Genomic DNA, 14,927 nt, shown 5'->3' with positions numbered 1-14,927 from the left:
AAATTAGCCGGGTGTGGTGGCGGGCGCCTATCGTCCCAGCTACTTGGGAGGCTGAGGCAGGAGAATGGCGTGAACCCGGGAAGCGGAGCTTGCAGTGAGCCGAGATCGTGCCACTGCACTCCAGCCTGGGCAACAGAGCGAGACTCCGTCTCAAAAAAAAGAAACCCCATCTCTACTAAAAATACAAAAAAATTAACCAGGCATGGTGACTTGCGCCTGTAGTCCCAGCTACTCAGGAGACTGAGGCAAGTGAATCACTTGAATCCAAGAGGCGGAGGTTGCAGTGAGCCGAGATTGCTCCACTGCACTCCAGTCTGGGCACAGAGCAAGACTGTGTCTCAAAAACAAAAACAAAAACAACAACAACAAAAATTCCTGGCCTAGCGTAGTGGTTCATGCCTGTAATCCCAGCACTCTGGGAGGCTGAAGCAGGAGGATCACCTGAGTTCAGCAGTTCCAGACCAGCCTGGCCAACATGGTGAAACCCCATCTCTATTAAAAATACAAAATTAGCCTGGTGTAGTGGCGGGCGCCTGTAATCCCAGGTACTCAGGAGACTGAGGCAAGAGAATCGCTTGAACCCAGGAGGCAGAGGCTGCAGTGAGCTGAGATCACAGCATTGTACTGCAGCCTAGATCATGCCATTGCACTCCAGCCTAGGCGACAAGAGTAAAAACTCTGTCACAAAAAAAAAAAAAAAAAAAAAATTCCTGTGGGGAAGGCCTTCTACATAAAGATCTTCAGCTTGAGACTGGAAAAAAGGGGTGGACCTTTGGCTTTTACAGCTTGAGCTATAAAGACAAAAAGAAAAAAGCGTATCATTTAAACACAATATGTAGAAAAGAATAATTATTGAATCTGTATTGCTCTTTAATTTTTATAATTTGATCTTTACTTCTGTTACTGTAATTGAGTCCAAAGAAAAATATTATGAGTAAAATAAAAACACCACCAAAAATGCTAATGTTCTGTTCATCAAAGTCTGCAGTGAAATATCCCATTACAGATAAGTGCAGTGACTCACACCTGTAATCCCAGCACTTTGGGAGGCCAAGAAAGGTGAATCAACTGAGGTCAGGAGTTCGAGACCAGACTAGCAAACATGGTGAATCCACGTCTCTACTAAAAATAAAAACGTAGCCAGGCAAGGTGGCAGGCACCTGTAATCCCAGCTACTCAGGAGGCTGAGGCAGGAGAACTGCTTGAACCCAGGAGGCAGAGGCTGCAGTGAGCTGAGATCACAGCATTGTACTCCAGCCTAGGCAACAAGAGCAAAACTCAATCTCAAAAAAAAAACAAACAAAAAAAAAACAGTAAGAGAATTGTGGAGCTGATGGAGCTGAGTCCTACTCATTGTATTTACTTTCCTAAAATAAAACAACATTATAAAAAAACATATGACCAGGCGCAGTGGCTCATGCCTGTAATCCCAACACTTTGGGAGGCCAAGGTGGGAGGCTCACCTAAGGTCAGGAGTTTGAGACCAGCCTGGCCAACATGGTGAAACCCCAACTCTACTACAAATGCAAAAATTACGCAGACCTTTTGGCAGGTGCCTGTGATGCCAGCTACTTGGGAGGCTGAGCCAGGGAGAATTGCCTGAACCTGGGAGATGGATGTTGCAGTGAGCTGAGATCACGCCACTGCACTCCAGTGTGGGTGACAGAGCAAGACTCCATCTCAAAAAAAAAAAGAAAAGAAAACAGCTAGCAGGTGCCATTTGCTATGGGGAGACTAGGGATATGATCTTGCTGCAATCCTTCCATTTTAGTAAATCTTAACAGTGTGATTCCATTCTGTTTTGTCCCCATTTCACTCCAGAGGCAAAACAAGTAAGAAAACCAATTCTATTTCTATTTCTTTCGAAACACATCTAAACAATTAAGAGATGATATGCATGGCTCTATACTCTAAAAGGAAACATTCTTGTGTCCTGGGTATCATGGACATTTCATGAATGCTTGTTCAAGTGACTGGTGTAGACTTCAATAATAACCTGTTCAATGCATTATGCCAGATAAATCTTGCATCTCAAAAGTAGGCCAAATTTTGTTCTTTTAGTTCTGTCTACCCATAAATGCAACATTTACATGTATTTATAATGGGTTAAAAAAAGAAAATGAGTTCACTGTTTTAGAGAGTATTAGAATTTTAACAAATGAGGCCGGGCGGGGTAGCTCTGACCTGTAATCCCAGTACTTTGGGAGGCCGAGATGGGTGGATCATCTTAGGTTGGGAGTATGAGACTAGCCTGACAAACATGGAGAAACCCCAACTCTATTAAAAATATCCGGGTGTGGCAGCGCATGCCTGTAATCTCAGCTACTCAGTAAGCTGAGGCAGGAGAATTGCTTGAACCCAGGAGGCAGAGGTTGCATGAGCCTAGATTGTGCCACTGCACTCTAGCCTGGGCAACAAGAGCAAAACTCCGTCTCAAAAAGAAAAAAAAAAATTAAAAAAAAAAAAAGAATTTTGACAACATGAATTCTCCTGTCCTGGAACATAATTAATAGTTACAAGCATATTATTTCATGTGGAAGGTACCATTTTAAAAAAACAATGTCAAGCATTAAATAATTATTGCACATAATCTTTTTTTTTTTTTTTTTTGAGATGGAGTCTCACTCTGTCACCCAGGCTGGAGTGCAGTGGCGGGATCTCGGCTCACTGCAAGCTCCGCCTCCCAGGCTCATGCCATTCTCCTGCCTTAGCCTCCCGAGTAGCTGGGACTACAGGTGCCCACTACGATACCCGTCTAAGTTTTTGTACTTTTAGTAGAGATGGGGTTTCATCCTGTTAGTCAGGATTGTCTCGATCTCCCGACCTCATGATCCACCCACCTCGGCCTCCCAGAGTGCTGGGATCACAGGTGTGAGCCACCACGGCCAGCCTGCACATAATCTTCTAATCTGACTCAAGACTGAAGACCTACCTCCTGAAGCTGGTTTATCAAGCTGTAAATCTTCATGTCTTAAATCCATAAGTTCATGTCTGAAAGGTGAGACTACTTAATATTCACTAGGCAATATTCAGCGAAGTAACATCCACTAGTACATATTTAACATTGAATCACCAAGGATGGTTTTGAAAAGACAAGACAGGCTGGGCATGATCGCTCACCTGTAATCCCAGCACTTTGGGAGGCCGAGACTGGCAGATCACAAGGTCAGGAGTTGTAGACCAGCCTGGCCAACATGGTGAAACACTGTCTCTACTAAAAATACAAAAATTAGCTGTGTGTGGTGGCAGGTGCCTGTAATCCCAACTACTCGGGAGGCTGAAGCAAGAGAATTGCTTGAACTCAGGAGGTGGAGGCTACAGTGAGCCAAGGTCATGCCACTGCACTTCAACCTGGGTGACAGAGCAAGAGTCCATCTCAGGGAAAAAAAAAATTAAGAAAAGACAATCTGGATGCTTGAGTGCAACTAAACCTTCATTTGAGGTTTCTACAGAGTAACAAAACAAAATAATAATTGTAAAATGTCTCATAAGGTGCTTCATGGAGCATGTGTCCTCACAAGTGACCTACTTTACAACCTACAGGTCTTTGAAGCATATTACAAAAATCTTAAATGGGATCCTTTAATATCACATTGCATTCAAGACTATCTTCCTCTACACATCTAGAAGAACAATCATGTATTCCCATATATGGTATAAAAATCTCAGGTCTAAAAGCAAGACATGGATACTATTATTTTTAGCAAAAGTAGCAGAAAATTGTGAAAGAAAATGTCAGTTGCATGCCAGTCAGGTGCGGGCAGTGTTCATGTTTCAAAAGCTAACACTGGCATGACTGACTCAATGTTGGACCCAGACAAATTAAAAAATGGTAGATAAAAATACATATAATACGCCGGGCGCGGTGGCTCAAGTCTGTAATCCCAGCACTTTGAGAGTCCGAGGCAGGTGGATCACAAGCTCAGGAGTTCAAGACCAGCCTAGCCAATAATGGTAAAACCCCGTCTCTGCTAAAAATACAAAAATCAGCTGGGCATGTTGGTAGGCACCTGTACTCCCAGCTACTCGGGAGGCTGAGGCAGGAGAATTGCTTAAAGCTGGGAGGTAGAGGTTGCAGTGAGCCAAGATTGAGCCACTGCCCTCCAGCCTGGGCTACAGAGCAAGACTCCGTCTCAAAACAACAACAACAAAAAACATAAAATAACTCAAACAATTAAATATAACCCTAGTGGTGAATGAATATTTGTCAACAATAACAAAGATATATTACTAAGAACAGAGATAGGAGTCCAACAAGAACCCAAGAGTCTTACTTTTTAATCACAAAATGAATCCTTTCCTTTGCAAGGAATTCCATAAGTAGATAGCCTTCTTAAAAAAGATTCCTGGTGGGGCGAGGTGGTTCACGCCTGTAATCTCAGCACTTTGGGAGGCTAAAGCGGGAGGATCACCTGAGGTCAGGAGTTTGAGACCCGCCTGGCCAACATGGTGAAACCCTAACTCTACTAAAAATACAAAAATTAGGCGGGCGTGGTGGTGGGTGCCTGTAATCACAGCTACTCAGGAGGCTGAGCTAGGAGAATTGCTTGAACCTGGGAGGCAGATGTTGCAGTGAGCCGAGATCATACCATTGTACTCCACCATGGGCAATAAGAGCAAAACTCTAGCTCAAAAAAAAAAAAAAGAGAGAAATATCCCATTGCTTTAAGGCAATGTAGACACAGCCAGACTTTCTACAAAAATCTGAACCACATTATAAAGCCAAAAAAAATCACCATCTAATTTTATTTAATACATATAGTACTAAATGGAAGAGGTAATATTTTCAAAACATAAACATTAGTGTAACCTTATTGGACTTTTACAAATAATTTTTTACATAACAGAAGCAGAAGATTCTTGTGAACTGCAACATTTCAGCAAGCATTTATTTACTCAAGATTAAAATAATACAACAGCTATAAAAAGTCAAGAGCTGGCCAGGCCTGGTGGCTCACGCCTGTAACCCCAGCACTTTGTGAGGCTGAGGAAGGTTGATCACCTGAGGTCAGGAGTTCCAGATCAGCATGGCCAACATGGTGAAACCCCGTATCTACTAAAAATACAAAAATTAGCAGGGCGAGGTGGCACTCGCCTGTAGTTCCAGCTACTGGGGAGGCTGAGGCGAGAGGATCGCTTGAACCTGAGAGGTGGAGGTTGCAGTGAGCTGAGATGGTGCCACTGCACTCCAGCCTGGGTGACAGAGCAAGACTCTCTCTCAAAGAAAAAAAAAGTCAAGAGCATGGGAAGTATTAAAATCAAACATAATCAATGGTCTCCCATCAGAACAGCTCCATTTTTTTGCTATCATTGTGTTAATGTCTACTTGCTAAACATTGATATTTGTACTAAAGTTTCAAGTGTACCATATAACACATTAGTGCTGACTTAGGTTTAATATCCTTTGCTGTACACTAAACTTCAGTATTATATATCGCAACAAAACTATCTTTCCCTAAGGTAATTACCATTAATATTGCATTAAAATTATGAAATGTGAAGATCGTTTTTATAATTTCACAACAGCTGAACATTATTGTCTTTAAACAAAATAATCTAATAAATCAGCATCACAATAAAAGCCCCACAACATAATCTGTTTCACCTTATAAAAAGCACTGACATTTATAAAATGGTCATAGTCAATTTATAAAACTGTAATAGCAAATTATTTTTATTCAGAATAGTACTAACAATATAACAAAAACATAGGCCAGGTGTGGTGGCTCACGCCTGTAATCCCAGCACTTTGGGAGGCAGGTGGATCACTTGAGGTCAGGAGTTCGAGACCTGCCTGGCCTACAAGACAAAAAACTCTGTCCCTACTAAAAATACAAAAATTAGCTGGGCATGGTGGTGCACGCCTGTAATCCCAGCTACTTTGGAGGCTGAAGCAGCAAAATTTCTTGAACCCGGGAGGCAGAGGTTGCAGTGAGCCGAGATAGTACCACTGCACTCCAGCCTGGGTAACAGAGCGAGATTCTGTCTCAATCAATCAACCAATAAAAACATAAGAAGGAAACATTTACTATGTATTTATATGCCTGGTATTATGTGAAGCACTTTACTACTTTATCAAATCTTCGGGATATTCAGTTCTCATGAACACAAAAGAGGATATTAAGGCTCAGAAAGGAGAAGAGATGTGGCCAGGCTGTGTCCCCAGAGCCTAAGACGTTACCATTAGGTTACAGTGCTTCCAAATAGCACATCTTATGAGGTTTTTGCTTTAAAACGAACCAATAAAAAACAAAGGCAAAAAAGGCGTACACTATTAAAACGTGGAAGAAACACTAAAAGAACCTTAAGCTCATAACTAAAAATATTATGGAAAACTTATTTAATTCATTAGTAAATTTACTCTAATTCTAGACTTTCATTGAGGGATAGGTTATATTACTCATGATGAAGAAAAAATGTTCAAGTATATTAACATAAACACCATCGATATGGTTTATCACGTTTAAATATTCACTTAAATCACTTCAGTTAAAATTCTGCATGTCATACAATTCTACAGCTTGCTAGTAGATTGCAAAATAAATAGTCATCCAAATAAAAACGGCATAACACATGATGTTTTTCACTGGTTGTTGCTATTTTTAGGTGAGCATTTACTATATACCATCAGAGAGATGATAATAACAAATTGCTAATTTCTTTCATCATTATATAAAGGTGGCTTTAGGATAGAATAGGATAAGGGAAAAGAAGAATTTGAAATCTAATGTCAACTCAGCGATGCATCAAGACAAAGGCAGAAACAATAGCGGCATCTTGGTGAATACCGAATTTTTTCTTCAGATAGAATTTTGCTCTTGCTGCCCAGGCTAGAGTGCAGTGGTGCCATCTTGCCTCACTGCAACCTCCACCTCCCGGGTTCAAGCAATGCTCCTGCCTCAGCCTCCCAAGTAGCTGGGACTAAAGGCATGCGCCACCACGCCCAGATAATTTTGTATTTTTAGTAGGTCAGGCTAGTCTCGAACTCCCACCTCAGGTGATCTGCCTGCCTCGGCCTCCCAAAGTGCTGGGATTACAGGTGTGAGCCACTGCGCCCAGCCGAATAACGAATTTAACATAGCAGATTGAGAGAAACAATTAGTTTAAAAAAATATTATTTGGCCAGGCACGGTGGCTCACGCCTATAATCCCAGCACTTTGGGAGGCAGAGGTGGGTGGGTCACAATGTCTAGAGTTTAAGACCAGCCTGGCCAAGATCGTGAAACCTTGGCTCACCTAAAAATACAAAAATTAGTGGGGCATGGTGGCAGGCGCCTGTAATCCCACCTGCTCGGTAGGCTGAGGCAGAGAATTGCTTGAACCTGGCAGACGGAGGCTGCAGTGAACTGAGATCATGCCACTGCACTCCAGCCGCGGTGACAGGGCGAGACTCCATCTCAAAAAGAAAAAAAAAAAAAAAAAAAAAAAAAAAAAATATATATATATATATATATATATATATACACACACACATATATATATACACATGTGTATATATATACGCGTATATACACACGTGTGTATATACGCGCGTATATATATACGCGTGTGTATATACACGCATATATATATATTTTTTTCAGTCAAATCCCTAAGATCTAGGGCTTTGCAATAAATATATAAAGAAATCCCAAATATCCACACTGAAAGTATAAAAGAAATGCTAATTGATAATTAGAGAACTACAACTTTTCCTTAGCTTTCAAGTAATCTAGAAACAAAGAAACTTTCTAATATTTAGACAGACACTACAAAGTACCTTACAAGGAAAGACGTGTAAGGATGGCATGACTCACCAGCAGCCCTGGGTTTGTCCACAGTACCCCCATGATGAAACAGCAACTCCATTGTGTAAATGCTCATGAACAAACTATTACAGGACTTTTCCAGTTTAGACACACTGTATTTTCTTTCAGACAATTCTTCAACTTGTTTACGTAGATCAGTGATACGACTATTCCATTTTTCTGAAAACTGACCAGAAGTTGATTCTCAATAATACATCCCTATACCACAGCAGCAATAACATATAATGACTTATTTCCTGTATTTTACATCCTAACAGATCATATCATTTTACTGCTTTCAAAAAAATTGTTCCCCTTTTTGGTGGTTCTTAGAATTAGTTTAATGGGAGACTATAAGAGAAGTTTTAAAGTTTAGTACCTCTTTTCAGCCTTTTAATTTATGAAAAGCAGGAGTGCAGAAAAGATCAATCAAATTAAACATGACAACAGGGAGGCCACAATGAGGAGGTCTCCAGGGGTCTTTTAGCAAACTTCCTAAAACATGTCTCAGCTGTATGGAAGTAATATTTTACAGTGGTGGTGGTGCAGGCCTGTAATCCTAGCATTTCAGGAGCAGAGGCTGGGCAGACCGCTTTGAGCTAAGGGCAATACAGTGGAAAACCCCCTCCCCTCCCCCACCCCCCAGTCCCACCCCGTCTCTACCAAAAATACAAAACCTAGCCAGGCTTAGTGGCAGGCGCCGGTAGTCTCAGCTACTCGGGAGGCTAAGGCAGGAGAATTCCTTGAACCCAGGAGGTGGATGTTGCAGTGGGCTGAGACTGCGCCACTGCCAGCCTGGATGACAGAACAAGACTCTGTCTCAAAAAAGAAAAAACAAAAACATAAGGTTAAGAGAGACCCCAGACCTTACAGATACAAGTTTAACAGGGACCCCAAAGCAAAAAATCCCAACCCTTTTTCTCCCAATCATTGAAACACCAGGAGGGTGTAATAGTTTTGCAGCCTAGCTGTAGTAGGCTGATGCCCCCAAGATGCCCACATCATAATCCCTGGAACCGGTGAACATGACCTTATATGGCAAAAGGGGCTTTGCAAGTATAATGAAGTTAAGAGTCTTTGGCCAGCTTGTCCCCACAGGGTTTATGTACTCACCTGGATCCTTATAAGAGCAGAGCAGGTGATGGAGAGCGGTGGGAGGTGTAGTGATGAAAGCAGGAAACGCGAGTCATTCGAGAAGGGCAGCACAAGCTGAGGAGTACAGGCCGCCTCCAGGGCCAGGAAACAGATTCTCCCGCAGAGCCTGGGAAGGCACTGACCCTGCTCCCACGTTGACTCAGTGGGACTGACTTTAGAATTCTGGCCTTCAGAAATGTAAAGGAATACCTCTGTGCTGTTTTAAGCCACTAAGTGTGTGGTAATTTATTGCGGCAGCAACGGGGAACTAGTATTGTAGTGAAGCCTCAATACCCACCTGAAGGGGCCAGGCGCAGTGGCTCACGCCTGTAATCCCAGCACTTTGGGAAGCCGAGGTGGGCAGATCACTTCAGATCAGGAGTTCCAGACCAGCCTGGCCAACATGGTGAAACCCCGTCTCTACAAAAATTAGACAGGTGTGGTGGCGCATGCCTGCAATCTCAGCTACTCAGGAAGCTGAGACATGGGAATCACTTAAACACGGCAGGGGGGCGGGGAGGGGGTGAAGGTTGCAGTGAGCTGAGATTGTGCCACTGCCCTCCAGCCTGGGTGACAGAGTGAGACTCCGTCTCAAAAAAAAAAAAAAAAAAAAAACCCACCTGAAGAAGGTTTCCAGTTCTGCCAGCAGTCCCCCACCCAACCCCCAGAAGCAGACATTCCTTTGCTGTGGGCCATGGACAGGCAGAAGGAAGTGCCTCCTCATGGCAGAGGCCTACCCAGGAGAAACCCAAGGTAAGGCACTGCCAGGCCAGCCCCTCTGCCAAAGCCATTTTCTTTTTTCTTTTTTTTGAGACACAGTTTCACTCTGTCTCCCAGGCTGGAGTACAGTGCCACGATCTTGGCTCACTTCAACCTCTACCTCTCCAGTTCAAACGATTCTCCTGCCTCAGCCTCCCGAATAGCAGGGATTATAGGAGCGTAGCATACCTAGCTAATTTTTTTAGTAGAGATAATGGTTTTGCCATGTTGCCCAGGCTGGACTTGAACTCCTGGCCTCAAGTGATCCACCTCTCTCAGCCTCCCAAAGTGCTGGGATTACAGGCGTGAGCCACCGCACCCAGCACTCGTCAAGGTCTTTGATGGCAGGTTTTTCCAGGTGATCAGTCCTTGTCTGGTCTGGCTCTGTCACACTCTCCCTCTCACCAAGTTCGAACCCCTAGCTAGTTTTCAGAGGAGGAGAGTGTGTACCCCAATCCCAGCTTGGTATGGTTCAGATCTGTATTTGGCTCAGGAAGCCTGGCTGCTCCCCAGGCCCTGGAGAAAAAAAGGGTCTCGCTGCAGGTATGATACAAGACGGGCCTGTCCCCAGGACCGTGTAAGAGGGAAGCCCAATGTGCCACCAGGTTGGCAGGGCTGGGGAAGGGAAAGTGTTATGGTAGCCCCAAGACTAAAAAGAGGCAGCAGAGGGAGCAGGACAGTGCTCCCATGGAACTCATGCCGCTGCCTGAGTGAGGTGAGGGAAGAGTGCACCCACTGACATCAGGGGGCAGAGAGGTGCGGTTCCAGCGCGGCTTTTCCTGCTTCTTGCCATGTTACTCTGATCCCCTCCAGGTGAGCCCGCCCATTTTGGGCCCAGGGTTGCCGCTGGGGCCTGTACCCAAATGCAGCCCCCCATGGCCATGGCCCCAGGAGTGCGGCAGAGCAGGGAGGAGTCCTGGAAAGAGGAGACGCAGGGGCAGGAAGGAATGGGCCTCAAACTCCAGGAGGGGGTCCTTCTCATGGGTCCTGCTTTCTGGCCTCTCCTCGCTTACCCCTGGGCTGATCCCCCTGGGAAGAACTGAGCCAAGGTTTCTCACTCTCAAATCCGAGGGATTCAATTACCGGGCCCTTAGGGAGGTGTCAGCCCCCTGAAACGATGCAAGGTGCCCGGCCTAATTTTTATATTTTTAGTAGACATGGGGTTTCACCATGTTGGCCAGGCTGGCCTCGAGTTCCTGACTTCAAGTGATGGCCTGCCTAGGGCACCGAAAATGTTGGCATTACAGGCGTGAGCAAACGCGCTCGGCCAGCTCTATTTATTTCAGCCTATACATTTTGCACTTGTTAAAAGTATTTGAACATACAATTCTGTTTTCTTTAAGCAGTCCCTCCCTGTTGCACACTTGGATAGTTTTTTTACTTTTTTAGACAGGGTTTACCTCAGTCTCGCAGGCTGGAGTGCTGTGATGGGATCATAGCTCACTGCAGCCTTGAACTTTGGGGTTCAAGTATCTGGGAAGCTGAGGTGGGACTACAGAGATGGGGTCGCGCCACGTTGCCTAGGCTGCTCTTTAACTCCTGGCCTGAAGGGATCCTTTCACCTCGGCGCCCGGATATAGTTTTCTAGTTTTGACCCACAGAAACACCGTGCTGGGTCAGAGTTTGTCAACCACCCTTCTCCAGCCAGCAACACACAGAACATGGCGGGGAAGTCGCGGTTACCAGGCACCACTCTGAAGACAAAACAGCCCAGCTCCAGGCACTGTACCGTCACTCTGACGACGCGGAAGGCCTGGCGCTATTGCGTCGCCGAGGGCCCGCGCCTGTGACGTCAGCGAAGGCGCTCCCCAGTGACGACAGAGAGCCACGCCCCTCATGTGGAACCAATCGGAACTCGAGGAGCGGCTGCCGGGTCGTCCAGAAGCGCGCATGCGCAGACGCGTGGCCACAGCCGGCCGGTCAGTGTTCGCAGGCTCCGACCCGGCGGCCAACACCAGTAAGCTACAAGGAGGAGCTTTCCCACTGCCTGTGCTACTACTACCGGCGCGACTTCCCAGCCTGCAGCGTAGGGCGCAGCAAGGGCCTGACGCTGAGCGAGCAGGCGCTGCACACCAAGCGGTTGTCGCCTGGCGGGCACAAACAGAAGGTCGGGCAGAAGCTCCTTAATGGCCACTGCAAGCCGGCTAGCTCCGGCTGCAGCCGTTGCCGCACACTCGCCTCACCTGAGGCTGGGTACGTGCGCCCCCCAACACCTCCTCCAGCCAGGGACCGGGGACCCCGCAGCGTCCCCCGCCGCCCGGCGCCGCTCATCCTGGGCAGGCTCGGCTCCCTCTGAGGCTGCCCCGCTTTAGGGAGCTGAACCCCCCATCTTGACAGCTGATGGCCGTTGCAACAACATTAAAGCCTTTGGAACTTTGTAGCGGGGGTACAAGGGGCTAGGAAACGCAGAAAACATCTTTTTAAAAATATAAGCGATCGGGCCGGGCGCAGTGGTTCACGCCTGTAATCCAGCACTTTGGGAGGCCGAGGCGGGTGGATCACGAGGTCAGGAATTCAAGACCATCCTGGCTAGCATGGTGAAACCCCGTCTCTACCAAAAATACAAAAATTAGCCTGGCGTGGTAGCGGGCACCTGTAATACCAGCTACTTGGGAGACTGAGGCAGAGGCAGAGAATTGCTTGAACCCGGGAGGCGGAGGTTGCAGTGAGGCGAGATCGCGCCACTGCACTCCAGCCTGGGCGACAGAGAGAGAGACTCCGTCTAAAAAAAAAAAAAATTGGTATTCTGATGTATATTGCACAGTGTGTCAACCTCAAATAATCAACAGGGTCAGAATCTAAAGGGAGTTTATTCATGCAGAGTTTAAGGAGGGCCACCTGGGAAGCACAGATACCCAAGAGTGGAAGACAGTGTTCCAAGGCTTAGAAGTTTGGGATCACTTGCATAGACAAAGTTTAGGGAAGCTTAGCAGAATTTCAGCATCTCTCCGTTTAAGGCTTAATACATAGTTAAAACAATCTGATTGGTCCAGGTGGTCTTTCTTTCACTCTGTCACCCAGGCTGGAGTGCAGTAGTGCAATCGCAACTCATTACAGCCTCAGCCTCCCTGGCTCAAGCGATCCTCCCACCTGGGCATCCCTAGGAGCTGGGACTACAGGCGTGCACCAACACACCTGACTAATTTTTGTATTTTTTGTAGAGACAGGGTTTCACCACATTGCCCAGGCCAGTCTCAAATTCCTGGGCATAAGCAGTCCTCTCACTTCGGCCTCCCAAAGTACTGGGATTACAGGCATGAGCGACTGCACCCAGACGAGGTGGTCTTTTTTCCGGGAAAGGTGTATTTTACCTTCTACACTGAAGATGTAAGTCATGGGGTCTTTTGTGCCATCTGGTGTGAGTTAGGTACAGAACAATAAAGGAGGCAGTTAATCTGTAACAAAGATAAGTGATTGTAAGGAGAGGACGACTAGTCTCTGGTCTCTCATAGTCATTTGCAGAATGAAAATAATAAGGAAGGAATAAATTATAATTTAAGAAGCAGAAGTTACAAACATGCTATGTGACTCGGTCAGGGTGTAACTTCCCTCTTGGCATGATAAATTTATAGAGGGTCCTGATACTTTTTTTTCTTTTATACTTGCTAGATTCTCTGCACTGTTGATCCCACAACAATTCTTCCAGGTAGATGCTGCTATCCACTTTTTTGTTGTTTGTTTTCGAGACAGATTCTTGCTCTGTCATCCAGGCTGGAGTGCAGTGGCGTGATCATGGCTCACTGCAACCTCTGCCTCCTGGGTTCAAGCAATTCTCCAACCTCAGCCTCCCCAGTAGCTGGGATTACAGGTGCCCACTACCACACCCAGCTAATTTTTGTGTTTTTACTAGAGACCAGGTTTCACTTTGTTGACCAGGCTGGTCTTGAACTCCTGACCTCAGATGATCCACCCGACTCGGCCTCCCAAAGTGCTGGGATTACAGGCATGAGCCACTGTGCCCCGCCCACATTTTAGAAAACGGATTCTAAGGCACAGAGAGTTCAAGTACCTTTCCAAAGATGACACAGCTCCTAAAGTGCTAGGATTACAGGCATGAGCCACTGCTCCCAGCCTTTTAAACTCAATTTGAATTATAAATGTGATCACTATAGAAAATATGTGTATTATTTATCTGCTGCTATGTAACAAATTACTCCAGACCTAGTGGCTTAAAATAAATACTTAGGGCCAGGCACAGTGGCTCATACCTGTAATCCCAACACTTTGGGAGGCCGAGGTGGGCAGATCACTTGAGTCCAGCAGTTTAAGATCAGCCTGGGCAACATAGTGAGACTCCATCTCTACAGAAAATGCAAACATTAGAGGATTTTGCATGTGTGTGCTTTTTCTGTTTACACATGTATGATATGAAACAGTTAAATGATAGAGAACTGTGTAACACATGGAGCAGGTGCAGTGGCTCATGTCTGTAATCCTAGCACTTTGGGAGGCCAATGTGGGAGGATCACTCGAGCCCAGGAATTCGAGACCAGCTTGGGCAACATGGCGAAACCCTTTCTCTACAAAAAATTTTAAAAAGTAGCCAGCCGTGGTGGTGCACGCCTCTAGTTCCAGCTACTGAGGAGACTGAGGCAGGTGGATCGCTTGATCCCAGGAGTTTACAACCAGCCTGGGCAGCATAGCAAGACCCCATCTCTACAAAAAATAAAACAATTAACTGGATTTGGTGGTATATACCTGTAGTCCCAGCTATTCGGGAGAATTGCTTGAGCCCAAGAGGTTGAGGCTGCAGTGGGCTGTGATTGCACCACTGCACTGGGCAACAGAGCAAGACCCTGTCTCTTAAAACAAAACATACCAAAAACTATGTAACACATGAAGGAAAGCTGCAATCACATCTTCCTCAGGCAACCACTAGTATTCCTAGTATCTACCCTTTGTATGTTTTTTTCTATGTGCTAACTCATGTGATGACTATTTTAAACAAATTGTCCTGTGTTCTCACCTGGATTTTTTTTGTTTGTTTTTTTGAGACGGAATCTCACCCTGTTGCCCAGGCTGGAGTGCAGTAGCACAACTTCGCTCCAACCTCCACCTACCAGGTTCAGCCGATTCCGTATGTGAAAACACTGATTTACAAAGCCAAAATATATCTTAGTTTTATTTCCTGTATGCCCTCAATGAGGTCGTCTCTATTTTTTTTTTTTTTTTAACAGAGACCAAGGTCTCACTATGTTGTTCAGATTGGTCTTGAACTCCTGGCCTCAAGTGATCCTCCTGCCTTGG

General features: G+C 45.6%; 2 pseudogenes across 2 annotated transcripts in view, besides 6 other annotated features; one reads left to right on the top strand and one right to left on the bottom strand.

The window, feature by feature from the left end:
* Window positions 1-9,013, bottom strand: part of GTF2IP23 (general transcription factor IIi pseudogene 23) — a 36,824-nt pseudogene extending 27,811 nt beyond the window's left edge. Inside the window, exons 1-2 of the transcript NR_135738.1 lie at window positions 8,901-9,013; window positions 7,797-7,974 (exon numbers count right to left, since the gene is read on the bottom strand). The product of NR_135738.1 is annotated as a general transcription factor IIi pseudogene 23 (transcript). The remainder of the gene's footprint in view (window positions 1-7,796; window positions 7,975-8,900) is intronic.
* Window positions 6,544-7,043: an enhancer, noted in NCBI's record as "H3K27ac hESC enhancer chr7:66314407-66314906 (GRCh37/hg19 assembly coordinates)". NCBI's record gives its function as "activates a minimal SCP1, AML or CMV promoter by ChIP-STARR-seq in primed H9 embryonic stem cells {active_cell/tissue: H9 hESC(primed)}" and the evidence as "EXISTENCE:reporter gene assay evidence [ECO:0000049][PMID:30033119]".
* Window positions 7,044-7,545: an enhancer, noted in NCBI's record as "H3K27ac hESC enhancer chr7:66313905-66314406 (GRCh37/hg19 assembly coordinates)". NCBI's record gives its function as "activates a minimal SCP1, AML or CMV promoter by ChIP-STARR-seq in primed H9 embryonic stem cells {active_cell/tissue: H9 hESC(primed)}" and the evidence as "EXISTENCE:reporter gene assay evidence [ECO:0000049][PMID:30033119]".
* Window positions 11,006-11,507: an enhancer, noted in NCBI's record as "NANOG-H3K27ac-H3K4me1 hESC enhancer chr7:66309943-66310444 (GRCh37/hg19 assembly coordinates)". NCBI's record gives its function as "activates a minimal SCP1, AML or CMV promoter by ChIP-STARR-seq in primed H9 embryonic stem cells {active_cell/tissue: H9 hESC(primed)}" and the evidence as "EXISTENCE:reporter gene assay evidence [ECO:0000049][PMID:30033119]".
* Window positions 11,508-12,008: an enhancer, noted in NCBI's record as "NANOG-H3K27ac-H3K4me1 hESC enhancer chr7:66309442-66309942 (GRCh37/hg19 assembly coordinates)". NCBI's record gives its function as "activates a minimal SCP1, AML or CMV promoter by ChIP-STARR-seq in primed H9 embryonic stem cells {active_cell/tissue: H9 hESC(primed)}" and the evidence as "EXISTENCE:reporter gene assay evidence [ECO:0000049][PMID:30033119]".
* Window positions 11,574-11,693: an enhancer, noted in NCBI's record as "active region_26089". NCBI's record gives its function as "activates an Ori minimal core promoter by ATAC-STARR-seq in GM12878 lymphoblastoid cells {active_cell/tissue: GM12878}" and the evidence as "EXISTENCE:reporter gene assay evidence [ECO:0000049][PMID:35858748]".
* GTF2IRD1P1 (GTF2I repeat domain containing 1 pseudogene 1) overlaps window positions 11,577-14,927 on the top strand; it is a 34,894-nt pseudogene continuing 31,543 nt past the window's right edge. Inside the window, exon 1 of the transcript NR_003934.2 lies at window positions 11,577-11,787. The product of NR_003934.2 is annotated as a GTF2I repeat domain containing 1 pseudogene 1 (transcript). The remainder of the gene's footprint in view (window positions 11,788-14,927) is intronic.
* Window positions 11,874-11,983: a silencer, noted in NCBI's record as "silent region_18217". NCBI's record gives its function as "represses an Ori minimal core promoter by ATAC-STARR-seq in GM12878 lymphoblastoid cells {active_cell/tissue: GM12878}" and the evidence as "EXISTENCE:reporter gene assay evidence [ECO:0000049][PMID:35858748]".

The sequence above is a fragment of the Homo sapiens genome, chromosome 7 (genome assembly GCF_000001405.40).
Source record: "Homo sapiens chromosome 7, GRCh38.p14 Primary Assembly".
Lineage (NCBI taxonomy): Eukaryota > Metazoa > Chordata > Mammalia > Primates > Hominidae > Homo > Homo sapiens.
This window is presented reverse-complemented; position numbering and strand designations above follow the sequence as displayed.